Source organism: Homo sapiens, chromosome 1 (assembly GCF_000001405.40).
Source record: "Homo sapiens chromosome 1, GRCh38.p14 Primary Assembly".
In the NCBI taxonomy this organism is placed as follows: domain Eukaryota; kingdom Metazoa; phylum Chordata; class Mammalia; order Primates; family Hominidae; genus Homo; species Homo sapiens.
This window is the reverse complement of record NC_000001.11, coordinates 22,117,313-22,142,188: the sequence shown is the minus strand read 5'-3', so window position 1 is coordinate 22,142,188 and position 24,876 is coordinate 22,117,313. Positions and strand designations below refer to the sequence as shown.

Sequence of the window (24,876 nt, the reverse complement as noted above, 5' to 3'; positions counted from 1 at the left end):
CCGTGTCTAGCCTAAGGAGGAAGGGGTGGTAACCGCTGGTGACCTGTCTGTTTCTCCTTGACTGGATCTGCGCTCAGGGCGCTCCCTGGGTAGGGGCGGAAGGTTTGCTGCAGGGAGGGAGACTAAAGGGATGAGCTCCAGTGAGTGGGTGGACAGGGAGCAAGCGGACCCGCGCTCCTTTCATCCCCGCTCAGGGACAGTTCCCCATGCCCCGCGCTTAACCCTGGCCCCAGTTCCTCCTGCCCAGAGCTCTGCCACCATCCGCTGTGGGCAGCCAGTGGGGAGCCAAGCTCCAATATTGATCTGAAAAGCATGGGGTGGGAAGGGGGATCGCCAACAGTGTAGCTGGGGTTTCCATGGAGACAGGGAGAGAGGAAAAAATTCTCTCTGCATCAAGACCAAAGAACAAATATCTCCCATGAAATTGCCCCGAGTGTCCAATGGCTGTTGCTATGAGGTCATTGTGGCCAGCCAGAGCCCTCCAGGCTGGAAGGAGTGTGTTCGTTGGGGTCAGAGCCACCCAGGGCTTGGGGGACGGAGGTGATGTGGAATTCTCCCAGCTGTTCCGAGAGCAAACGACTCCAAGGCAGCCCGAAGTGGCTGCGGAGCTTTTGTTTTTCTTGGAGCCTTAATTTGATTAACACTTCAGGAGCAGTGGCAGAGTGTACAGAAAGCAAGGCACCACCACCTTCTCCCACTGCCCCCCTGCAGGCCACCCCCTGAATGGAGCCTGGGTCACAGAGCTGGGGAGGGAGCTGATTTGGACTTGGAGGACCCTGGGTGTCCCTGGAGCTGGTTCTTGAATGCATGGGTTCAGAGCGGGGGCCTCCAAAACAGATCTGAGCATCAGAAGGAGCAAGAACTGTGTCTCACCTGCCCAGCACCGCCAAAGCCACAAAAAACAAACAAACAAACAAAAAACAAAGAAAAAAAAGTGGCAGTCCAAGCGTCTGGCCCAGGCCTACATGGAAGACAGCGACATCTGCAGTGGAAAGTCCTTCAGGAACATCTCATCTTTGACTCAGATGAGGAAACTGAGGCCTAGGGAGTGGAAGCTACTTGCCCAAACTCAGAGCTGAGAACTGAACCCAGGTGTTCTGACTCCCAGGCAGTGACCCTATACCCCCTTCCCTGAAGCTGTCCCAAAGTGGAGCCAGCATGGCCCGGTGGCATCACCACTCACCTTCACCCATGTCCACCCCCAGAATCCCAGCCAGGAAGGCAGCCTCGGCTTTGGATCATGCAAACTGTGGGGAATTCCAACAACTCAGTTCTCCTGCCTGTGCTGTTGGGGGTGGGGTGAGGAGGGGCAGCCTAGGAGAAGAGAGGTTGGCAAACCTGTTCTCTGCAACGGTGATGGTTCAGGTTGCCACGAAGCAGGTCTCTGGATGACCCAGCTCACTCCTGCTCCACCCCCGGCTTCAAGCCAAGGGTCTCTCTGCTCCACCCAAGGCAAGAGGAACAAGAGGCTTCCCAGGACCCTCCCAAACCAGAGAGGCTATGAAGGAGAAGACACTGGGCACATACCAAGGTTGGTCCAATATTTATCAACCTCTGTCGAACAATCAGCTGGCCAGGAATGGCAGCTCTGGGGGAAATGGATGTCACAGCCTGGCCTCCCACAAGCCTGGAGTCTAGGTAGAAAGACATGATAAAACCACGACTGGGTGGAACAGGGCACATGCTCTATGGCTGTCAGAGGAAAGAGCTGAGTGTGAGCCCGAGCAGGCACAGAGGGGGACTTGGTCTGAAGACTGTATGATCATGACAATAATAATTATTATGATGACTCCCACAGCATGATCTAAATCCCAACAACGTTTCAATCCCGTTACAGATGAGAAGATTGGGGATCGCAGAGGTAACTGCCCAAGTCACCCAGCTGGTAAATGCCAGAGGTGTCCGACTGAAAAGCTGCCTCTAGAAGGAAAAGCTTCGGGGAGGCAGGTGTCCATGCAGGCATGATGGCTGGCACTGTGTCTTTTCAAGTGTGAGGTATGAGGAGGCCTGGCCCCGAGAGGATAGCTGACAGCACCTGCCAAGGAGCAAGGTCTAGGTTCCGCTCGCCTCCCAATACCCTGGAGTCCAGGGTGGGTCTGCTGGCCAGTGGCGAGAGCCAGGACTATCTGTTGTCTCAGAAGGGCAGGTGGCCTGGTGGGGAGGCCAGGTGTCCCGCCGCGTGCAGCTGTTGGGCAGGATGGAGCCTGGAGCTGGGAGGGCAGCCTGAGGCCTGGGCAGGCCCAGAGAAGCTGGGAGCTGTTGATTAGACTCTCGTCTGGCACCCGGAGGAGCCCGCTGACAGCTTGTGACGGCTCCCACCACTGAGGGAGGGCCCGATGGATGAAGAGTCCCTGGGGGAAGGCTGGGACTCTGCCCTTAAGGAGGCTGCCCTGCCACGGACCTGAGCTCAGAAATGTTTCTAATGTCCCCTCTTCCCTGCACTGAGGCTGTACCGGGAGTCAGGATACCTGGGTTCCAGTCCCAGCTCTGGGCCACATATTGGGTGTCCCCTTCCTCCCTTGGGGCCACAGTCCTCAGCAGATCGTTCTGAACCCCAAATGGAAGTGCTGGGGAGGGTTAGGGAATAAATAAGCTAAGGTTTCAGGACTGTGGATTTCTGAGGAAAGTAGTGGGGTAGCGGGGTTCTAGCAGAATCCCACGGGTGAGGGGAGGGGGACCACGCTGCACTCAGAGGCAGGCCGGCGGCATGGCCAAGAAGTGGGTCTTTGAGATCCAACCGAGCTCTGCCCTGCCCAGCTGAGTGACCTTGGACAGGTTATTAACCTCTCCGAGCCTCGGGTTTCTCATCTGTAAAATGGAGCCCACTGATGCAAATGGTGCACAATGGTGGTTGGGAAGAAAGAGCGAGCCCATGCGTGTGGCAAGCTGGCACTGGGCCAGGCACGCTGATGGAAATGGCAGCCCTGGCAGCTGCCGGAAGCAAGGGCTGCTGTCAGGGAGCTGCAGGGCTGCGTCCCTATTGATAGGGGTGGTGGAGAAAACGGGCCTTCAGGCTGCTGCTCCCAAGCCCTGTTTATCCCAGGCTGTCCCACCCAGATCCACTGATTTAACACAGGTAGGATCCTAGGCTGCAACCCCCTTGCTCAACAAGGGCCCCCGCAGGAGCCTCCCAGAGTCAGGAAGACCTAGCCTGGCTCACAAGCCAATCTTGCCAGGCAGAGGAGTTGCTGCTGGGAGCACCTTTCCGTGCCCTGGGGGCAGTGAAGGACGCATCATGCTTTCCATTGGCTTTGAGTCCCCACTGGTGTGCGACTTCCGGCCAAGCTCCCCTGAGCCTGCTTGCCCGGGGGCCGGGGGACAGTTTATATCTCCCTTGGCCTTGGGTGGAGTGAAGCCCAACACTCTGGGCACAACTCCCTGGGGCAGGGATGGGGCACGGCCAGCCCAGATGTGCAGTGCCAACCACACAGGTAAAGATGTGGCCCACCTCCTCCAGGAAGTGTGCCCTTGATTCCCAGCTTTAAAAGATCCCTCTCTCCCCTCTAAATAGTCAAAAATCCGTCTCCTTAGAGCTCCTCCGTGGCTCTGGGCAGTGAATTACAATCACAAACACCCCCACAGTACTTCACAGTTTACAGCAGGATTTCTCAGCCTCCGTATCACTGGTATTTGGGACTGGATGAGTCTTCTGTCTGGGTCTCTTCTGTGCATTGCGGGATACTTAGCAGCATACCTGACCTTTACCGGCTAGATAGCCAGTAACATCCCCCCAAGCGAAAGGACAAAATGTCTGCAGACTTTGCCAAATGTCCCCTGGGGGGCGGGCAAAATCATTCCCCCAGGAATCAATGGTTGGCAAAGATCTTTCACAACCATTACCCATTTGAACCACACACCATCCCCTCCATGCCTCACCACAACCACTTTCAGAGGACAGGAGTGTAGATTACTTTCAGCCCCACTTCAGAGGCCCAGACGTGCAATGACTTCCCCAAGGTCATCCTGCAAATCAGAAGCAGGACTGGAACTGCTCTCCCATGTCCAGATTTTACAGCTTTCATCCCCTGCCTATAGAACCGTTTCATATTATATATAACTCTAGTCTAATCATGTGGTTTCTTTACTGCTTCTACAAGGTTATAAACATCTGGAGGCCGTGGCTGTGGCATAAACACCTCTGAATATCTCACAGTGCCTGGCACGTGCCTGTCAGGTACTAGGTGCTCAGCCGATCTTTGATGGATGAATGAAAGGTGGGCTTGTTTAGAGGGTTCTCAGCTGTTGTCCAATGGTAGCCCATCTTCAAAGGCCTGCAGTAGGAGGAAGGCTCTGCTCCACTGCCCTGAGGCTCAGGTGATACTAAAAGGCACAGAGGTGGGTGGCAGGAAGTGTGTCTGTTGCCCCCCCGATCTGCTGCTCTGCCCCTCACTGCTGGGCCGGAACAGACCCTGAGAGCCAGGCTGAGTGTTTCTCCCCCAGCACTGCAGCACCCCAGGACCAGGCTCTGCCCGAGGGGGTTGCTCAGGCAGCAGTCACGACCCAGCTGTCTGCTATGGTTTGACTTTCTTCCCTCAGCCCTGGATTAGCAATTGAGCAACACAGCAAGCATCTGACAAGACAGTGCTCCCCAAACCTGTTGAAACTCGCCCAACTCAGGCTCTGTGGGTACACTGGGAAAGCTGAGCATTTGCACCAAGCCTCCTCCTCTTGTTCCTGCCTCTGGGAAGAGGGGCTTGGGCTTAGCCAGTGGGGCGCAGATTGGCCAGGGAGCCATGGGTGGGGTGACAGCTGCCTGCCGTGGGCCCTCCAGTCACCCCTTCACTGCATGGAGCAGGCGCAGCTGCAGGCAGAGCTGCGACCCCAGGGTTGCTCTCCAGATTTCCACAGGAGTTGCCAGGTTTTATCTCTGAGTCCTGAACTGCATCTTCTGTGATTCAGCCAAACTCGGGACGGCTCGCTCCCTGCCGTGACCCCACCAGCTCCCCCTCCCCCATGTCCTGGCAAACTGAAACCAAACTGTGTTCTGAAAGTTCCCTGCCAAGTCAGACCCCGCAGAGGAGGGGACCTGGTCTGAGGAGAGAGCGGGAGGGAGGTGGGAGGAGGAAGGGATGCGTCCTCCAGGGGAGAGGAGCCTCGGACAGCTCACATGTATCTTTGGAGAGGCCCATTAGAACAGCAGGAATGCTGATGGGCCTCAGGGCCCTTCCCCGAGATGACTGTGAATGGTCCCTTCAGACCCTATTTCTCAATCTGTTCACACACAAGCCCTGAAATCCCAGGATTGGGCCCTAGAGACCCTTCCCCAAGGGCTGGAGACAGCAGAATAGCCCCTCCTGAGTCGGGTGCCCAGCTGTTCCGGCAACCCAAGCTTCGAGGCATGAGTGTGAGGGGGTTCTTGGGGATTCTCAGTCAACCCCCTGGGGAACCTTCCTGCCAGGGAGGGCCTGGGATGCCCCCAGGCAAACATGTCGAGCACTTCCTCACATCAGGCCCTGTGCTGGGCACTTAGGACCATACAGCATGGCGGTGGTAGAACCAGGACTCCATCCCAGGTCTCCCAGAGCTGTTCCCGCAGCCGCTGACAGCAGCCCTGCAGCCCTGCAGCCCTGTACCCCCAGCCAGTTATTCTCTGCTGGGGGGATGAGCCCCACCCTGGTGGGGGTGGGAGTAGGGGTTCAGCCACAGGCTCTCCTAGGACTGGGCCTTTGGAAGGTATCCCCCAAGGCCGATGAACTCACTAGAAACCGGGAGCCTCACTCCAGGAGGCCAGCACTGGCTCTGGACAGTTCTGCTGGGGTTTCACCTGTCCCTCCTCTTTCCCCAACCCCAGGTTCCCTCAGCCCAGCAGGGAGGACAGTTCAATGGGTCAGTGGCCACAGGACATGAAAGGTTGTGGGGACACAGGTCGGATGGGTCTAGCAAAGGAAGAGCTCTCTGCTGGCAAATTGGGGGACAAGGTGAGGTCAGACCAGCCTTAAATTTGATACCCACTCCCCCCAACAACACACCTGCCTCAGGGAGAGAAGGCAAGTTCTCACCTGGCAGAGCTCTGGGGCCATCCAGGCTCAGGTCCAAGGGGCTACTTTGTGGCCCTGAGGCAGCCACCAGCTCGCTGGGAATACATACAGTGAGATGGGAAATGGGGTTGGGGGCTCCCAAACAGGAAGTGGGGGACACAGAGCCCTCAGGAGTGAAATGTAGGGGGCTAGGGTACCAGGATACTGGAAGTAATGAGAATTGGGAAACCAAGAGTCAGAAAATGAGGGCACTGAGGCTTCCAAGGATAGGAGATGGGAGCGAGGGGTCCCAGGAGACAGGAAAGAGGGAAAGGGGCCCAAAGGTGCAGAGTGGTGTGCACTGGCGGTGGAGGCCTGGGTTCCAGGGGAGGCCGTTCTCTCTCTCCGCCTGAGGAAATGCACCTGAGGCCAAGAGGACTTGGCCTGGGCCTTGAGAGACCTAGGACCATGCTAAGGCTGAGGGGTGAAGGCAGCACCCACTGCCCTGCAAACCACCATGAGTGTCTCCAAAGCCTGCCCCTCCAGGGGTTTTGGACCAGTGGCAGCAACCCTTCCATGGCCCCAACAGCTACAGAGACCACAGGCTTCCATACTGTCCAGGCAGTCCCGTAACCACCCAGACATCTGTCCCCAGCACCCCTTACTCCTGAACACAGCCCAGACACCTCACTGTAGTTCAGAAAAGACATGGGGCTCTAGAAAGACCCATCAAGGGAAGAATCAGGCCTCCTCCCTCAGGTCACTGTCTGTTGACTGCCAAACTTCATGCCTCAGTACCCTGGGTCATCTTTGGCTTAGGAGCCAGAGTGACCCGTTTTCAAATCCTGACCTTCCACTGCAGGCTGCATGGGCTCAAACACATGCTTCTCTGAGCTTCAGTTTCCTCATCTGCGAAACAGAGGGGAAGACACCTGCCTAGCCAGCCCTGTGCTGTTGCACTAAGGACATACTGAAGCACGTGACTATTGATTGCAGAGTATAAGTGAAGGTCCCATGCATCCACTCTGTGATGCCCACAAATGGTTTCCAAGTCCCCTTGACACTCCTGAGCTTGTCCTGCACACCACTGTCCCTGCCCTCACCCCAGTGTCCCAGCTCTTGATGTCCTAGCAGCACCATCCCCTCCACCCATCTCTCACACTCCCCAGCCTCAGAGGGTCTGACTGACAGTCGCCAGGAAACACATCCTCAAACTCTGCAGACTTCATCTGGAGACTCTGTCAAAAGCCTGCCATTGGGATGGCTGCTGAGGTCATCCACTGTACCCCGGGGGAGCGTGTCCCACCTCTCAGGCATGATCAGCTGAAAAAAAGACTGGGAACCCAGGACTAAGAGGGCCAAGAGACCCAAGCAAAAAAACACACACACAAATGAGCAGAAGTCAGCATGGGTCTGGTCTGGGGTGCAGCAGAGGGGTGGCCAGAGGAACTGGGAGAGGCTGTGGGAGGGGTGGTGACGGCACCGATGACAGTGAGCATCTTGAAGGTGCTGCTAGGACAATGCTGCAGCAGGGACGAGCATCTCCTGCACACAGATTTCATTCATTTAGGCCTCCTGCGTGCAGGAATTCCAGTCTCCCCACTTTACAGATGAACACGCTGAGGCTCAGAGGTGTTCACTAACTTGCTTCAAGCAACACAAGGATGACATTTGGACCCAGGAGTCCCTGGTCCATGTCCTTTCTGCACTGCCTGCCATGCCAAAAGACAAGGGTCTCCAAGGCTAGGGCACCATCAGGGGGAGCACAGCAGGATACCAAGACTGTGGTTATAGAAACATTCAAAGATGTAAAAGTGAGTGGGGGGTATGGTTAGGATCTTGGGAAACCAGGTACCATCCCCCTAAGAACACAGTCCTAGATGGGGACTGTGGTCACTTTCGCCCCCACTGGCCCGCATCCCCCAAGGCAGCTCTGTTCAGCAGCCACTCCGTTTTCTTCCGGCTCCCCCTCCCACCCACTTGGCCTCCTTCCTCCCTGGTATCGCAGGCACGACCGCTCCTGAGGAGGCTCTAAATGTGGCCCAGGCAGGCAGGGAGGCCAAAGGGAGGGGGCAGAGAGGCCTGCGCTGGCGTCCCAGCCCCCACCTGGACACCCGCAGGGCCGGGACCCACGACACTGATCTGCTTGGCCTCCCAAACGCTCCAGCTATTTCCCGTCCCCTCTCCTCTTGACTCACAGCGTAAGAGCTGGGAGGAGTCGCAGAGGTGCAGATTTTCCTCTAGGAATTTGTATATTTTTTTTAAAAAGCAAGCAAACCTGGAAAAGCTTGGGACAAGCCCAGCTAATTTTAGTTTCTAATGAAAACAGCAGGTGGCTGAGAGGATCTGATCTCCCTGGCAGGGCAAGGGCCCTCCAGCCTCGCAGGCTGTAGGCACGGGCCGGGCTCGGGGAGGGCCTCCTGGGAGGAGCCTGCAGGACCTGCAGCCCCCGTTGGAGAAGATCAGGGCATGAGCTGGCTGGTAGCAGCAGCAGGGGCGGTCTGGGCTGGTGGGGTAACCTGATCAACGGCATGGCCATGGCGAGAGTCCTGGGTGGCCAGGGCAGCAGGTGGCAAATTGCTAAGCCTGTACTCCGTGGTGGCAGGAAGGAGCCTAAATTGGGGCAATGCAGCCACGACAGGAGAAGCCTCAGGGATGGCCAAGGCCCTGCACAGCCTGGCCCGGCCCACCCATCACGCCCTGGCTCTCTGTCACCCCTAGAAAGGGCTGGTGCACTCCATTTTTGAGCCTGGTCCAGCTCCAGGGTCAGCGGATGGCACACGTGTCTCTGGGGTTGAGCCACCCTAGGGCACTGGGAATCCTGAGGTGTCCAGTACTAATCAGGCCTCGCCCTGATGGGTCTCCAGGCTCTCAGCAGATCAAAAGACCACAGCAGCCCCCACATTCCTCCCTCATCCTTATCTTCCCCATCCTGAGCACTCTGCCAGGAGGGAAGCAGAGGGAACCCCGTCAGGACAGAGCCCTCCATCCTGCTGCAGGCATTTATTAAACACCTTCTATGCACTGTGCCCTGTGTGAGGCACCAAGGGCAGTGTTAGCCCCCCTCAGCAGGTAAATGGGGCATATCCACAGCCAGGTACAGAGGAAAGAGAGTTGAGAGTTAGGGCTGGGTTTGCACTGCAGCTCGCCGCTCTAGCTGTGGGACTTTAAGCAAGTTGCTTTATCTCCGTAGCCTCAGTTTGTTCATCTGTGAAATGGAGCCAAATGCTAGTTGGATACTGAAACGGGCAAGCAGAAACATTGTGGATGAGGGCCTGTAATGCCTGGGGTTCTCACTCTCTAGAGCCGGTGCCCGGTTCCATTTCCAGCCCTGGCACCCAGCCCTGCCCGGGCGAGACCCTGGGGTCTGGGGGAACAGGGGTGGGGATGGGGCTGGGCCTCGTGTGTACGGAAGGGGACAGCTGCTGTGCCAGATGAAGGCAGGGGCTGGGGGTGGGCACTGGTGCCAACGGAAGAGGTTGCTCAGCTCCTTCCTGGAAGCTGGCCCAGTGACTCACGGCCACGGCAGCCCAGCAGCTCACCCTAAGCCCCTGCGACTGTCATTCAGCCAGTCTCCCCTTGCTGAGTTCTGAGCCTGGGTGGGGGGATGCAGGTGGCTCCCCTGGTCCATCTTACTACTTATTCAATGGCAGAGACACATCTATCAGCCTGGCATGGGGCCAGCAGGCCCCTGAGGCCCGGCCACTCCCCACCCTGCCAGTAGAAGGAGGCCCACCAACTCCGACAGTGGGAAAGGCCATATGGACCCACCGGTTTACTGTACCCATAAGGAGACAGGCTCCAAGTATGGCAGGGACTTGCCCAAGGTCATGGTGGGTCAGAGGCTGCCCCCCCTGCCCAGAGAACCCCTGCCCTTGGGTGCCTCCCTTGACCAGAGCCCAGGGCCCAGCACAGCCAGATGCAGCCTTCTTGGCTGCATGCTGTGGGAGCAGAGACTGAGTTGGGGATGGGCCAGCTCTGTGCCCCCACATCATAGAGCAAACAGGGCCCCCACCCTTCTCCAAGAGGCCAAGCCTCGGTCTGAGCAGGAAAGGATCCAACGTCAGGCTCAATTCCTTGTCCCCCCACCGAGGGACACCTGTGGCCTGAACGTGGACCTGGCCCACAGCCAGTAGCCGGGCTCTTGGCGCCCCCTGCAGGCCAAGAGCAACAGGTGGGACTGGCTCCACAGGCGACCCCTTGGCTGGGCACAGGCAGGAGAGCACCCAGGCAGGGCTGAGAAGCCGGGTGGGCCCCTCCCCTTCCAAATGCAGCCTCTGCTGCTTCTCAGCCCCCTTCCTGCCCTTGTCTTCCCTCCAAGGGGCTCCGAGCTCCTGCCTGGGCCTTGTCAGGACACCACCAGTCTGTGCATCCCCTGGGAACCACCTGGTAGATAGGAAGGAGGGGCGGGGAGGCCCCTGGGAGACCAGGAATGCAGGGGGTGGGGAGGGGAGGTTGGCCTTCTTCGGCCTGAGACCGCCTACTTTGCACTTGCCCCATGCTGTACACTTGCCCCCACAATTACCTGGCACCTAGAATGTGCCCAGCTGACAGCCAGGTGCATCACACAGCAAATCACGGGCATTCCTCTTGGCAGCCCTCTGGGTGAGAACCGTTATCTCCATTTACAGATAAGGAAAGCCAGGCTCAGGCTCCACAGCCACGGGGAAAAGGAAACATCCTGGGGATCAATGCCACAGTGAGGAGGACAGTGGCATCCCTGAGTCAGAGCTCCCTATGGCTGAGAAGGAAACATTACCCATACTTATGCAGACTGTTCTCCAGGCCAGTGCCCACCTAGCCTCCCAGGTGCACCTAAGGCACATTCAATTAACCTCAGAGGCCCACCAACCCCCACTGGGACTGGGGCCCAGGCACCTCCACCTTCAACAAACCCTGCACACGTTTCGATGCACAGCCAGATTCAAGAACCGTCACTTGGTCCAACCCACATACCTGACAAATAAAATTTAGCTGCCGCCTGCAAACCTCCAGGGATGGGGAGACAGCTCCCCAGCTGCACCCTGGCTAGCATCTTTGGGTTGAACAAACCCAGCTCCCAGCAGCTTCTGGCCACAGTGTCAATTCTAGTCTTTGAGCCACACAGAGAATACTGTCTCTGCCCAAGGCTGTGAAGCCAGGCAAATGCCAGGTTCAAGTCCTGCTCAACCTCACTGGCTGTGTAGCCCTGCACATGAGGTAAATTACTTAAAATGTCTGTGCCTCAGTTTCCTCCTCTTTTAAATGGCAGCTGGTTGGCTTTCTGAGAGGATTAAACGCAATAATGTAAAGTACTTAGCCCAGTCCCAAGTTCCATAGAAGTTTGATGGAACTTCCATAAGTTTCTTCTTATCATCAGAAAGAATTCCCATAAGTAGGACTTTCTGTGTGCTTTTCTATTTGGTCACCATTCATTCATTCCCTCATTCAGCAAACAAATGGCGACTTCCTGCCTCATTGCCTCGGGCCAGTGTCAGGCCATCTCTCACACAGATCCCTCTTGCTCCAGGTAGCAGTTCCTCCACTCAGACAGAACCGGTGTTCCCTTCTCTTACTACAGATGAGGAAACTGAGGCCCAAAGAGCAGTTACCTTCCCTTTATCCTTCTTCAACAAGAAATTTGTGCAGCTTCCTTTATAAGATGCAACAGCTTCTTCACAGCCAACCCCTAGAAAATCCCCAACCCTTGGGAGACTCAGTGTGCTGGGCAAGCCCCTGGGGGAGGGAGAGCATGCTGCACTTGGCTTTTGAAGCGTCCACACAGCCCACTCTCGCCACCACCACCCATAACCTGACCATCCCTAGACCTCTAGCCCATCACTGCCCTCATTGTCCCACCTCCAAAGGGTGGCAGCAATGACACTGGTCTCCATCTGGTGGTCCTAGGATGTGGCTGGCAGTGAGGATCTTGGTCTTGTGGCCAGAAGATCAGCCAAGGATCACTGGGGTTCCTGCCTAGGACAGGGAAGAGAGACCCTGGGCAGACAGCGGCTCCAGCCTCCTAGCTAGAAGGCATCTCGGCAGGGAACAGTGGGATCCCATAGCCAGGTCTGGGGTGACGTCCTGGCACAGACAGTGGCACGGGGGCTGCCAGGGCAGGGAGGGATCCCGTAGGGGCTCGATGAGCTTCCCTCCCACTGCTGCCACCTGCTTTGCTGAACTTGAGATAGAGGCTTTTTGCAGAAGACAGCATTTCCACTCCCTTGGTGCCCCTAGAGCCGGGCAAGAGGGCCTGTAACTGGATCCAGAGAGAAGTCGGCAGCCAGGCCCAGTCACTGGGACGAGTCAGTTCCCAGAGACCCGGGCTGGAGCTCAGGCCTGGTCCGGGGCCAGGAAAGATGAGGAGGTGGGCTCTGCATCACGTGTCACCCTCTCCCCAGGTACCTGGCCAAGCTGTCGTCGGTGGGGAGCATCTCAGAGGAGGAGACGTGCGAGAAACTCAAGGGCCTGATCCAGAGGCAGGTGCAGATGTGCAAGCGGAACCTGGAAGTCATGGACTCGGTGCGCCGCGGTGCCCAGCTGGCCATTGAGGAGTGCCAGTACCAGTTCCGGAACCGGCGCTGGAACTGCTCCACACTCGACTCCTTGCCCGTCTTCGGCAAGGTGGTGACGCAAGGTGAGGGAAGGGCGTGCGGGGCTGCAGGGGAGCCTGCGGTGCCAGGGCATGGGCCCAGCAGGAAATGAGACGCTCGTGAGCAACGGGACTATTGCAGGTCATTTCTGAAGCAAAACCAGCACAGGACCCAAGTGAGGGCATAAAGGATGCAGAGCGTTGGGGGCCCCAGGACAGGAGGATGATCCAGGTGGGATGTATGTGTGGGATGGGGGCCATCAGAAGAGGCGGCAGCTCTGTGTTGAGGCAGCACTCAAAAGAGCACCGTGTTTCCACTGCTGGCCTCCTGGAAGCGTAAGCAGGTAATTAAGGAAGAAACTGAGGCTCAGGCAGGGGACACCACTGACTTGCCCAAGGTTCCTCAGAGGAAGAGAAGCAGTCAGGGCTCAGACCCGAGGCTCTGGACCCCTGGCCCGCTGCTCTTCCCACCCCAGCACTTGGCCTCCAGTATCTGGGCCCATCCCATTCCTTGGTACACCTGAACAACCCTATTGTGCACCTCCAGCATAGCCAGCCCTGAGATACAGGGATGCACAGAAACAGGCACATGGAGGTTAAGTAACTTGCCCAAGGTCACAGAACTAGAAAGTGGCAGAGCCAGCTGGGCGCGGCAGCTCATGCCTGTAATCCCAGCACTTTCGGAGGCCCAGGCGGGCGGATCATGAGGTCAGGAGATCGACACCATCCTGGGTAACACAGTGAAACCCCGTCTCTACTAAAAATACAAAAAAATTAGCCGGGCGTGGTGGCGGGCGCCTGTAGTCCCAGCTGCTGGGGAGGCTGAGGCAGGAGAATGGTGTGAACCCAGGAGGCGGAGCTTGCAGTGAGCTGAGATCGTGCCACTGCACTCCAGCCTGGGAGACAGAGCTAGACTCCGTCTCAAAAAAAAAAAAGAAAAAAAAAGTAGAAAGTGGTAGAGCCGGGACTCAACCCCAGGCCGTCCCGCTCCCAGGTCTGTGGTCTTATCCTCGATGAGGAGACGCTGTGATCAATGGGCCAGGGGAGCCTGTGGAAGCACAGGGTGGACACCACCCCTGGCTGGGGCTGGGATGCTCAGGGAAGGCTTTTCCGAGGAGATTGGTCCTCAGCTGAGACCAGAAATGTGAGATGGCATTAAGCCAAAGACAGGGGGACCAGGGCATAGAGAACGGTCTATGGAACTGGAAGTCTCCTCCAGAGGTCGCCGGCCAAGCTCCCGCCCTCAAGGAAGTACTCTAAACCATGGGCCCCTTTTTCTACTTCCTGAGCATGAAACTGGCACTTCCGAGCCACTATCCATCGACAAGGCCCTTTGACTTGTTCAGGCAGCAGGAAGGGGTTGCCTGGGCCAACCCTTCTCCTGACACCTGTGGTCCTGGACGGCCGGGGCTGCTGGGCTTGTAGCAAACCATTTGGATGTTGCTAGAAACCAACTGTGATAGAAATTTGGAAGTCATTCTCCTAAGAGCTGGCAGGGGCCAAAAAGGCATGATCTCGCTTGGCATTGCTGAACATCGCTGCTCTGGAAAAGCAACAGAGACCCAGTGAGCAGCCTGGCAGTGGAGGATCTCCCAGGATAACAGGGCTGCCTGGTTGATGGAGCCCCAGAAACAGCCTCAAACAGCAGCCCATGAGCCTGGGAAGCCCTTGGACACAGTAGGTGTGTATTGGACAGATTGGTGGATAGATTGGCAGGGTTTCATATGGCAGGCTGTCACCCTCTCTCACTCCTCCCTTTGCATATGCAATGTCCTCCACCGCAAACACCCAAGCCCCCTTCTTGAGGGCTCAGCAGTTCCCTCCTCCACGACACCTTCTCAGCTCTTCCCTCTGGGCTCCAAAGCTCTTTGTTCTTGCTGTGGGATTTTTTTAAAATCATAATTTCAAACTTACAGAAGAGTTGCAAAAGTAGGACAAGTAATTCCTATATCCTTTTCACTTGATTCACCAACAGCTTACATTTTCACCCATTTGCTTTGTTATTCTCTATTTCTATATATAGACACACATTTTTGTCTAAGCCATTTGTGTTCACACTGCTTCTAGCACACCTTTTAGATTGAAATGCGTATCTCCTCACCCGACTCCACTCCCCCATCACTAGGACTCGGGCCCTTTGAAGGCAAGGTTCATGGCTCATTGACCTGTTTCTTGGCAGGTGGCAAAGCCTGGCATGGAGGAGACAGTGGATGTCATCTACTGACAGAAAGCAGGTCAGGGGAGAGGACTCAAAGGCGCAAGGAAGGAGGTAGCCTGGGGCAATGCTGGCCTGAAGCCATCGTGGGTACTCAGGACCCCATGAGAAGCCCTCCTTACCTTTGGGGGAGGAACCAAGGGGGCACCCACACCGGCTCAGCATCTGAGGGACACTGAGATTCCTACTAGGCCTGGGTGGTACCTGCTCTGGACTAAAGTCTGACTGGTGGAGTCGAACGTCCAATCCCCTTTGGAGAGGGACATGTCAAGGTGCCGAGACTAAGCCAGTCACACTCGGCAGGTGCCAGTCACACCTGGAGAAGGAGGCTGAGCTCTGCCCACTCATCAAACTCCTCCCTTTTACGTTTTTGGTTTTCTTCCCTAGTAAAATTCCTCTTGGAAACTTCTTAATTTGTCTCCACTGACTAAGAGGAAAAGGGGATTGTCCCTCCTGAGGTCTGAGAGGGAAGCACTGCTCTCAGAAGGTGCAGGGATTGGCTGGTGAGGCAGATGGAGGAAGGGTGAGGCCGAGGATGACCTGGGACAAGTGCCTGCACTCCCCTGAGCATCTGTGTCCTTGCCTGGCAACAAGGCCACACATAGGCCCACCTCATGAGGCTGTCACGAAGATACAGTGATTTCATGCATGGGAAGCACTTCGTGTAGACACGCCTCCCGTCACCAGCTGCTGTCATCTGCAGTAGCCTGTGTAAGCGGGCCTCACTCACATGCTCTCAGGACTGGGGGCATGGCCGGAGCCTGCATACATGAGCGGCCTGGCTGGGTTGTGGCGTCAGACATGGAAGACAAAGCTAGCAGGCCAGACCAGACCCACCCCGGGGTCTGAGAGGAGAGGAGCCCCCATTTGCTGAGGGCCTGTGGTGTGCTATCACGTCAGGTCATCCTCGTGACACTGAGTTTACAGTGCTGTTCTCCCACATCACAGCTGAGAAAGGAGACTTGGCAAGCAGAGGGTGGTAACATCCCCAGCCCTGGGCCTGCCAACTCTTGGCTGGGAGATTCTGGGGAAGGTCCGTGCCCTCTCTAAGTCCCAGTGTCCTCCTTGACCACTCCAGGACCAGCCTCCTAGGATTCCCGTGAGGATCAGAGAGATGATGCCTAGGAAGAGCTAACTGACCCCCACACGGCTCAGGGCTGGGGGGGCTCTCCCACTGCCAGCACTGCCCCAGGTCTCACAGCCTCCCCTGCTCCTGGCCTGGAGGCAAGATGGACAGTGAAATGATGATGAATGATGAGGCAGGTGTGTAATTCGGGGCAAAACTGTGTGTTCTAGGCTGAAAATCTACCAAAAATTTGGTAAAGATGGTATCTGGCACAGCCGGGAGGGCGGGGATCGGTGGTTCTTGGCTGAGCAGGTATTCAGGGCTAGATGAGGGATGGCCTCTGTATTTTAGTCACTACTTAATCCCAAGCCCTAGAACAGGACCTGCACATAATAGGTAATCAACAAATATTAAAATATTAAATGAGCAGGACCTGCACATAATAGGTAACTGATAAATATTGAATGGATCGTTAAATACTGAACTGATAAATATCAAATAAACCAACAAATATCGAATGAACCAAAGGGTGTGAGGGTGGGAGGGAGGCCATAGCGCCTGGCAAAGGTGTGCCTGGGCAGGTGGGAGAGGCAGGAAAGGCAATAAAAACTTCCCTTCTCCTGCTGTCCTCCATTTGTAGACAGCACCGGGCCTCCTCTGCCTCTACCGTGTCTCGTTCTGCGACCTTGAGCAAGTCCCTGTCCTGAGATGAAGGACTTGATGAATTCTGAGGCCCCTTCAGGGTCTGACTGCTGTGACTGGGAGGCCATGTGGTGCCCTGGCCATAGCAAAGTGAGGGTCCAAACCCAGGCCTGTCTGTCCATTCCCCATGTCTAAACCATCTAGGACACCTTCCTGACTGTGGCACCACCTGGACCTAAGAAGCAAATGCTCTGTGGTCTTGGGCGTCCCTCACTAGAACCTGTGCTCTCACCTTTATCCTCAATATTGGCATCACACCGGACCCAGTGATGGGGAGAACATTATTTTCTCCTGGGTTACCTCTGTGACCCAGCCTTTCGATGCTATAAGTTACAGAAGATCTGGGGAGGGGTTACCCCCGAGACATTCCCAGACTAGGAATGCCTTGAGGCTGCAGTGGCCAGACACACACAAGACAATTAGAAGATAAAACTGGGGGACATCCTGATTCTGACCGCATGGGGCAGGGAGGCAGAGAGGTGCGAGGTCTGGCCTGCCGGGGTGGCATTATTATCCCCATGTTAGAGTCGAGAACACTCAACTCAGGAAGGCTCAGAAAGAAAGGTCACACTGCTAGTAAGAATCCAATACAGCTTTGGCTCTGAAACCTTTGCTCTTTCCCTGATCCTATATTGTCTCTTAAATCCAAAGGGGCTTCCTGGAGGTGGTTTCAAGAAAAGGTAGGTTTCTGCACATCCAAGAGAGTAAAGGAATCTGGAAAGGCAGACTGGGCAGGGATAGAGGTTGGAGAATGGGGGATAAGGTTATCCTGGGAGACAGTGCCTGTCCTGCCCCACCTCCCCAGGACTCCAGCTGGCCTCACCTCCGACAAGATACGTGCCCTGGCACCCAGGGGATCAGCAAGCCTATGGCTTCATTGCCAGTCCAACTCAGCCTTAGCCAGTTCTCCAAACACTCCTAACTGCTTGAATATCCTTCCTTCTCCTGTATCTGGGAAAGACTTCACAAGTGATACGCTCTGAAAAGCACAGGCCTGGAGTCCGACAAGCCTTGGTTCTAATCCCCACTTGGCCATTTACTGCCTGAGGAACCCAGGACAAGCCACCAAGCCTCACCTTTTCTTCCACAGAGCAGAGCTGTAGAGAGCTCATTGCTAAGGCTGTCATGAGCCTTAGACAGCACATAGCAAGCCCTCAGAAAGAGTGGCTGTTAGTGGATTTACGGGTTAACTGAATTCCCAGCCCCAGGCAGCCTTAGCACCTTGGAAAAGGTGGCATTGAGGCTGGACCCAGAGGACACACAGTATTTAGGCCTGTGACGTCAGAGGCCAGGGGTGCTCTGGGAAGAAGAAACAGCAGGAAGAAAGGAGCTGGGTGTGAGAAGGGGCAAATGGCTGTGTGAAAACGGAAGAAGGCACCGTAGAGTTCTGCCTTACCCTGGCCCCTGGCCCAGGAAAGGACAAGGCGAGGATTGCCTTCGTCCCTTGGAAAGCCCCTGGCCAGGGAGCAGGATCTGCCACCTTGCTGGGGAACCCCCCCGCTGCTACCTGCCCAGGTGGACTACAGTTCTTTCTCTATATCTGAGTGGCCCCTGAGGAGAGTGCTCTGCCAGGTCCTCCTCGAGCGAGCAGGGCTCCAGCCTGGGAACCTGGGCAGAGATGAGGAGCTGGGAAGGGCCACCACCCTGGAGTCCAAGGGCTGGACACCAGAACCAGGTAGAGAAGGCTGGAGGAGCCGCCATCAGCTTTAGGGGCACAGATGCTTGCCCACATCTTCCAGGCTTTCTGGGGCCTCCTGTGCTGAGCCCAGAGGCCAACTGTTCACCATCCCCCAGTAAAGAACCCACAGAGGGAATTGGGCTTGTCCTACAGCATGTGAAGTTTGGGGTGGACCTAAGGAAGCCCTTCTTGGCTCCATATGTGGGAGGTGGAATCAACTGCATGTGTATTCCCAGGGGCTCAGAGCCTCTGGGAGGCAGAATAATGTCAGGTTTAAAAGCTCTGGAGTCTGGCTGCCTGGGCTCAAATTCTAGCTCCACCACTTCCTGGCTGGGTATTGTTGGACAAGTTGCTTTACCACTCAGTGCCTCAGTTTCCTCATCTGTCAAAGAAGGATGAAAAGTATCTACTTCATAGGGTTGTTGGGACAAGTATATAACACATGTGAAGTCCTTAGACAGAGCCCAGCACATGGTAAGCTGTCTGTAAGCTTTAGCTCGTTATTATTATCTTCCTTCCAGAATCTCTTCCTTCAGGACCACTCCCGAGCTGAGAAAACTCCAGTGTTCTTGTTCCCAAAGCCAGGGCAAAATGAACCTGGAGTCTCGGTGGATGAATGTTGGTTTGGGGAATGAGGCAGAGGTCTCTCTGAGCAACCTCCCTGGTGGCCCTGCACCCCAGGGACCACCAGTACACAGGGGAGATCAGCCTGGGGCTTGGGTTGGGCCGGGGTGGCCTGGGAGCCAAGACCAGCAGAGGAGGAAGGACCACGCGAGGCCAGGCTGAGGCGACCCGCCAGTCTCATCAGCCAGCCCCGTCTCCTGCTTTGACTTCCCTTCCCCCTTGGTCTTTGGGGCAAAGATTTGTGCTGGTTCAGGCCTGGAAATACCAGAAATACCAGAAACTGAAGTCGTCTCTCTTTGGGCGGCCACAGCATAAAACCAACCAACATGATCCTGCTATTAACCTCGATTAACTCGGAGAAGACTCTGTCTCAGGCTGTCGAGGCGCCATTGCTCCAGCCAAGCCCCCCAGTGCTGACCCAAAATGGCCAAGCCAGGGTGGAGAGTGGGCAGTGGAGAGTGGGTGGTGGGCACTATCGCCAGCTCAAGGGCCGAACCAAGAACAGGGCGTCCTGAGTGGTCGGGGACTGAGCTGCCTCCCACCCCAGTGCTCAGCCTCTACTGCCTCTGTCCACAGACAGGGGCACAGAGAAGGTGATTGTTTCCATCTGACCACGGTGACTGCTCCCTGGGGCAGCCGAGAGCACAGGCCTGGATGTCACAGAGGTAATTGCCAACCATGGGGCCAAAGCCTGCCCCCTCCGCTCCTGCGGACACAGACACTCAGGCAAGAGACAGAAGGACAGTCACAGCGTACAGAGGCCCTCCTCACAGGGCCCAGGAGGGGAGCATGGTCTGCTGTCTGGTCACACACCCAGCCGGCCATGCATACTCCAGCTCACACACTGCCCCCCACCTCCAGAAAGAGAGTCCACAACAGCTACACCCCCGAGGCACAGTTCTTAGGAGGATAAAAACATCCATTCAGGCGAGGGACGAGGGCGGGCACCAAAATAGAACCACTGAGAAGTCATGAGGCAGAGGCAGACAGACGTGTGCTTGAGTCTTGGTTCCATGGCTCTCTGGCTGGGTGACTGGGACCAAATCCCTTCCCCGGCTGATCCTCCATTTCTCCGTCTATAAAATGGGGGACAATGAAGCCCCCAGTGGTGGAGGGCTTATGCATAATAGGTATCTCCTAATTAGCCACAGTAGGGGTTGGGGGTTACGTAGAAGCTGTTGTTATTACGGTTTACTCTAAGGAAGCAAGACATTTTCAGAAACAGGCCCAGTCTCAGAGGAAGGGGCAAGATCATACATAAGGAAGGGCAACTCCTCAGAGCCCAGTGGGGCCAGCTGGGGAACAGGCCAGACCTGAGTTTATAGTCCAGGCCTTCTTTCTACCTGCAGCCTTGGCAAGCCAGTTCACCTCTCCCAGCCTGTCTGGTCTTCCATAAACCTTCACGAACCTTCTGGTGGGGGTAGTGAGAACGGCTTCCCACAGGAGCTGGGAACACAAGCTCTGAAGCCAGACTGTCTGCTGGCTCAGTGACCTCGGAAAAGCCCCCGAGCCTCTGTTTAAATGGAGATGGTAACAGTACTTGCCTCCTGGGGTGGTTGTGAGGATGACAGCATCTGCACGTTTGAAAAGCCCTAAGCCACGCCTGGTAAAGGAAGCAGATTCAGCTATTGGTGTGATAAGAACAAGCGCCGTGGGGTGCCTAGCACATGATTTCTGCCTGTCTTGCTCCCTCCTGGCCTCCAGCAAGCAGGAGGCTCCATATGCCCCTCCCCCTCTACAAAGGAGGGTGCAGGGAGGAGCCCTGGGACCCAGCTCTGCCCTCCCTCTGCCTCCCACAGGGACTCGGGAGGCGGCCTTCGTGTACGCCATCTCTTCGGCAGGTGTGGCCTTTGCAGTGACGCGGGCGTGCAGCAGTGGGGAGCTGGAGAAGTGCGGCTGTGACAGGACAGTGCATGGGGTCAGCCCACAGGGTAGGTGCAGGAGGTGGTCAGAGTGGGAGGGCAGGGGGCTTGGCCCTGGCCCTCACTCACCGCAGCCCTTTCTGTGCCCACCACACCCCAGGCTTCCAGTGGTCAGGATGCTCTGACAACATCGCCTACGGTGTGGCCTTCTCACAGTCGTTTGTGGATGTGCGGGAGAGAAGCAAGGGGGCCTCGTCCAGCAGAGCCCTCATGAACCTCCACAACAATGAGGCCGGCAGGAAGGTAGTGTGGCACTACCCCCCACCAAGAGCGGGGTAGGGATAGCATGGGCAGGGCCCCAGACTCTCCCACCCACACGGCCACTCAGAAAACATTTGTGCAGGCTCTCACCAGCACCTGGCACCTTCTGTAGGCCAGTGGGGTTCAGGACAGGCCAGAGGGGGGTACAGACAGGCAGGCAGGCGTTACAGAATGGGGTAAGTGGCCCCCTCCATACATATGGCCCCCCCACACACATACATATATGTGTCCATCCCTGTCTCTCACACACACTCATTCCCCAAAAGAGCAGCAGAGCTAGATGTGAACCTTTCTCTCCATCACCACGAAGATCATGTGCCTAACTGTAATGCCACCTGCCTTCTGGATGCCTACTCCCCAAGGTTCCCGTGGAGGTTAAATGCAGCAGTGTTCTCCCCACCCCACACCTGTCACTCACTGTTGATAGGACACCACCCTTAGTGCTTCTCTTTCTTCAACTCCCAGTGCCCCAAGTGCAGGGACAGTACCTCGTTCACCTGTCACAACACTGCTTAGCAGCCCAGTACCGCGTAATTCCTAAGAGGAGGCACAACGGCAAATCTGACTGCAGCGTCAGCCCCAGGGACCCCGATGCTCGGCTGTCAGCCTCCGCGGCCCTCCCCTGCCTTCCCTTGCCATCTCCTGATGGCCCCTCTCCCCCACCCTCTCCCACAGGCCATCCTGACACACATGCGGGTGGAATGCAAGTGCCACGGGGTGTCAGGCTCCTGTGAGGTAAAGACGTGCTGGCGAGCCGTGCCGCCCTTCCGCCAGGTGGGTCACGCACTGAAGGAGAAGTTTGATGGTGCCACTGAGGTGGAGCCACGCCGCGTGGGCTCCTCCAGGGCACTGGTGCCACGCAACGCACAGTTCAAGCCGCACACAGATGAGGACCTGGTGTACTTGGAGCCTAGCCCCGACTTCTGTGAGCAGGACATGCGCAGCGGCGTGCTGGGCACGAGGGGCCGCACATGCAACAAGACGTCCAAGGCCATCGACGGCTGTGAGCTGCTGTGCTGTGGCCGCGGCTTCCACACGGCGCAGGTGGAGCTGGCTGAACGCTGCAGCTGCAAATTCCACTGGTGCTGCTTCGTCAAGTGCCGGCAGTGCCAGCGGCTCGTGGAGTTGCACACGTGCCGATGACCGCCTGCCTAGCCCTGCGCCGGCAACCACCTAGTGGCCCAGGGAAGGCCGATAATTTAAACAGTCTCCCACCACCTACCCCAAGAGATACTGGTTGTATTTTTTGTTCTGGTTTGGTTTTTGGGTCCTCATGTTATTTATTGCCGAAACCAGGCAGGCAACCCCAAGGGCACCAACCAGGGCCTCCCCAAAGCCTGGGCCTTTGTGGCTGCCACTGACCAAAGGGACCTTGCTCGTGCCGCTGGCTGCCCGCATGTGGCTGCCACTGACCACTCAGTTGTTATCTGTGTCCGTTTTTCTACTTGCAGACCTAAGGTGGAGTAACAAGGAGTATTACCACCACATGGCTACTGACCGTGTCATCGGGGAAGAGGGGGCCTTATGGCAGGGAAAATAGGTACCGACTTGATGGAAGTCACACCCTCTGGAAAAAAGAACTCTTAACTCTCCAGCACACATACACATGGACTCCTGGCAGCTTGAGCCTAGAAGCCATGTCTCTCAAATGCCCTGAGAAAGGGAACAAGCAGATACCAGGTCAAGGGCACCAGGTTCATTTCAGCCCTTACATGGACAGCTAGAGGTTCGATATCTGTGGGTCCTTCCAGGCAAGAAGAGGGAGATGAGAGCAAGAGACGACTGAAGTCCCACCCTAGAACCCAGCCTGCCCCAGCCTGCCCCTGGGAAGAGGAAACTTAACCACTCCCCAGACCCACCTAGGCAGGCATATAGGCTGCCATCCTGGACCAGGGATCCCGGCTGTGCCTTTGCAGTCATGCCCGAGTCACCTTTCACAGCGCTGTTCCTCCATGAAACTGAAACACACACACACACACACACACACACACACACACACACACACGGACACACACACACACCTGCGAGAGAGAGGGAGGAAAGGGCTGTGCCTTTGCAGTCATGCCCCTGAGTCACCTTTCACAGCACTGTTCCTCCATGAAACTGAAAAAGGAAAACACACACACACACACCTGCGAGAGGGAGGGAGGAAAGGGCTGTGCAATAAAGTCCTCTCCCATTATCTTACTCAACACAATTTATTGAGCAAATACTACGTGTTCTAGGCCCTGTACAGGCCATCTCACTTGATGGCCACAACAGTCCTGGGAAGCAGACAAACCAAGAATGCTAATGCCCATCTGACATCAGAGACGGCAGTGCTCCCCAGACCTCTCACAGCAAGCTGGATGGACAGGCAGGGCCAGAAGAGTCCTCCAGCCAAGCCTCCTCCTTGGTTCTTGTACCCAAAGGTAGAGAAACTGCAGGTCTTCTTGGGTCTGAGCCTGGGGCAGGGGTTCTGGCTGGACGAAAAGGGGCAGGGAAGCAGCAGGAGCCAGAGACCACAGGCTGAGCTGGAGCCCACATGGTTCCTAAGGGCAGAACAGGCTCTGAGGAAAGATGTGAACAGCTGGAAGGCTGACAGTGAGGTCTCAGCAGTGTGGTGCACCCCTCCCCAGCACATCCGAGTCCCTGGGGTCCCAGGTACCATAGGTACTGCAAGATTTCCCAAGAGACAGCACCAGCAACCTGGGCCTGACCCTGTACAACCGCCAAACCATCACGAGCCCCGCCCAGGCTTGTGAGAAGGACATGCATGGATCAAGACCTTGCCCTTGACCCATCTGCTTCTCAGATGGGCTCCCAATCACCAGAGGAAGTTGCTGTAAGCCCACTTTCCAGACTGCCCCCACACTGGGGCTCTAAGTTTCAGGTCGGAGATTTTATGCTCTGTGATCCCCCACTTGGGGTTCCCAGACTCCAAGCTCCTGGCTCCTGTGTTCAGTGGCTGAATTCAACGTCCGAGATTCGGAATATGGGCTCCAGCCTGCAGAAACTCTTCTCCAGGCATTGTGGTTTGTGCCTCCTAGTGTTGGCTCCCTCATGAAAAGAGGGTCAACACCCTTGGCCCCCAGCCAAGATCTCTGCTCAATGTCCATACAAGGAGGAAGCCAAAACCAAGTGAGGTGCTGGAGCCACATTCAAATGTGGTTGATAATCTTGGGGCAGGCCAGCTCTGATGTGGATGAAAGCTGATCCAACTGTCGCCACAGCTGCCCAGCTGGGTCCGCTGCTCCCCTGGCTGGCTGTTCAGCTGTCTACTAAGCCCAAAAAAAATACTATGCCTCACTAGCAGAGGCTAGACCCAGAAAGAGGGAACAATGAGGACCCCTCCCCTCCCAGAGGAAAGAGCTGAGCCACTCTCCCCATCCAGGGAACAGTAGGTCCAGGCTGGATGCTGGTATGATGGGAACTGCCCTTTTCACCTGCCAGGGAGTTCCTAAAGCTGATCTTCCTGGGGTTCTGAAGGTTGCGACCTAGGTTAATGAGACCAAATTCTAGGAACCACTGCCCAGGCCAACCACCGCCAGTGCTGCAGAGATCAAAGAAATCCACAGCCACAGGAAAAGGAGCTTCTTTGGACATGCCCAGCTCCAAACTGTCCCAGGGGGAACTGGCACAGCCCTTACATAGCCCACCCCCTCTTGGCCTCACCGTGGCCTGGAAATTGGCCAGAGGGTCCACATCCTGCCCAAACCACTCTCCTCTCGTCCCAAGGCAAAGGTGATGCCCTGAGGCCTAGGGCTGGATAAAGCCCAGCTCTGGATGCTGCTAACCCACTCTGCTGCCCCACCCCATCCTCCAATTTTTATACTAGGCTCTTTGCCATTGTGACGTCCCATGACATAGTCTGATGCACGATAAAACAATTATTTCTTTA

The 24,876-nt window shown here is 56.3% G+C and overlaps 1 protein-coding gene and 1 long non-coding RNA gene across 4 annotated transcripts in view, besides 10 other annotated features; one reads left to right on the top strand and one right to left on the bottom strand.

Moving 5' to 3' along the window:
- LOC105376845 (uncharacterized) overlaps positions 1–1,236 on the bottom strand; it is a 16,433-nt gene extending 15,197 nt beyond the window's left edge. Inside the window, exon 1 of the long non-coding RNA XR_947050.1 lies at positions 1,184–1,236. This is a non-coding gene — a long non-coding RNA (uncharacterized LOC105376845). The remainder of the gene's footprint in view (positions 1–1,183) is intronic.
- WNT4 (Wnt family member 4) overlaps positions 1–24,876 on the top strand; it is a 25,785-nt gene extending 909 nt beyond the window's left edge. Inside the window, exons 1-5 of one of the 3 annotated variants that reach the window (XM_011541597.3) lie at positions 1,294–1,531; positions 12,338–12,573; positions 20,613–20,744; positions 20,836–20,978; positions 21,672–24,876. In XM_011541597.3, the coding sequence (XP_011539899.1) occupies positions 1,389–1,531; positions 12,338–12,573; positions 20,613–20,744; positions 20,836–20,978; positions 21,672–22,139 (1,122 nt within the window). In that variant the 5' untranslated portion in view covers positions 1,294–1,388 and the 3' untranslated portion in view covers positions 22,140–24,876. Of the gene's footprint in view, positions 1–1,293; positions 1,532–12,337; positions 12,574–14,707; positions 15,157–20,612; positions 20,745–20,835; positions 20,979–21,671 lie in introns of those variants that run through there. The other 2 variants (NM_030761.5, XM_011541599.2) reach the window with 2 other exon arrangements.
- Positions 2,678–3,632: an enhancer, noted in NCBI's record as "H3K4me1 hESC enhancer chr1:22465050-22466004 (GRCh37/hg19 assembly coordinates)". NCBI's record gives its function as "activates a minimal SCP1, AML or CMV promoter by ChIP-STARR-seq in primed H9 embryonic stem cells {active_cell/tissue: H9 hESC(primed)}" and the evidence as "EXISTENCE:reporter gene assay evidence [ECO:0000049][PMID:30033119]".
- Positions 5,506–6,019: an enhancer, noted in NCBI's record as "H3K4me1 hESC enhancer chr1:22462663-22463176 (GRCh37/hg19 assembly coordinates)". NCBI's record gives its function as "activates a minimal SCP1, AML or CMV promoter by ChIP-STARR-seq in naive H9 embryonic stem cells {active_cell/tissue: H9 hESC(naive)}" and the evidence as "EXISTENCE:reporter gene assay evidence [ECO:0000049][PMID:30033119]".
- Positions 8,274–8,999: an enhancer, noted in NCBI's record as "H3K27ac-H3K4me1 hESC enhancer chr1:22459683-22460408 (GRCh37/hg19 assembly coordinates)". NCBI's record gives its function as "activates a minimal SCP1, AML or CMV promoter by ChIP-STARR-seq in naive H9 embryonic stem cells {active_cell/tissue: H9 hESC(naive)}" and the evidence as "EXISTENCE:reporter gene assay evidence [ECO:0000049][PMID:30033119]".
- Positions 9,339–10,097: an enhancer, noted in NCBI's record as "H3K4me1 hESC enhancer chr1:22458585-22459343 (GRCh37/hg19 assembly coordinates)". NCBI's record gives its function as "activates a minimal SCP1, AML or CMV promoter by ChIP-STARR-seq in naive H9 embryonic stem cells {active_cell/tissue: H9 hESC(naive)}" and the evidence as "EXISTENCE:reporter gene assay evidence [ECO:0000049][PMID:30033119]".
- Positions 10,098–10,858: an enhancer, noted in NCBI's record as "H3K4me1 hESC enhancer chr1:22457824-22458584 (GRCh37/hg19 assembly coordinates)". NCBI's record gives its function as "activates a minimal SCP1, AML or CMV promoter by ChIP-STARR-seq in naive H9 embryonic stem cells {active_cell/tissue: H9 hESC(naive)}" and the evidence as "EXISTENCE:reporter gene assay evidence [ECO:0000049][PMID:30033119]".
- Positions 19,146–19,315: an enhancer, noted in NCBI's record as "experimental_5420 CRE fragment used in MPRA reporter constructs". NCBI's record gives its function as "activates a minimal promoter by MPRAs in K562 erythroleukemia cells, with activity observed for both the introgressed and non-introgressed 1:22449452 variant alleles {active_cell/tissue: K562}" and the evidence as "EXISTENCE:reporter gene assay evidence [ECO:0000049][PMID:34662402]".
- Positions 20,055–20,672: an enhancer, noted in NCBI's record as "NANOG-H3K27ac-H3K4me1 hESC enhancer chr1:22448010-22448627 (GRCh37/hg19 assembly coordinates)". NCBI's record gives its function as "activates a minimal SCP1, AML or CMV promoter by ChIP-STARR-seq in naive H9 embryonic stem cells {active_cell/tissue: H9 hESC(naive)}" and the evidence as "EXISTENCE:reporter gene assay evidence [ECO:0000049][PMID:30033119]".
- Positions 21,292–21,909: an enhancer, noted in NCBI's record as "H3K27ac-H3K4me1 hESC enhancer chr1:22446773-22447390 (GRCh37/hg19 assembly coordinates)". NCBI's record gives its function as "activates a minimal SCP1, AML or CMV promoter by ChIP-STARR-seq in naive H9 embryonic stem cells {active_cell/tissue: H9 hESC(naive)}" and the evidence as "EXISTENCE:reporter gene assay evidence [ECO:0000049][PMID:30033119]".
- Positions 22,887–23,056: a silencer, noted in NCBI's record as "silent region_398". NCBI's record gives its function as "represses an Ori minimal core promoter by ATAC-STARR-seq in GM12878 lymphoblastoid cells {active_cell/tissue: GM12878}" and the evidence as "EXISTENCE:reporter gene assay evidence [ECO:0000049][PMID:35858748]".
- Positions 24,072–24,121: an enhancer, noted in NCBI's record as "active region_349". NCBI's record gives its function as "activates an Ori minimal core promoter by ATAC-STARR-seq in GM12878 lymphoblastoid cells {active_cell/tissue: GM12878}" and the evidence as "EXISTENCE:reporter gene assay evidence [ECO:0000049][PMID:35858748]".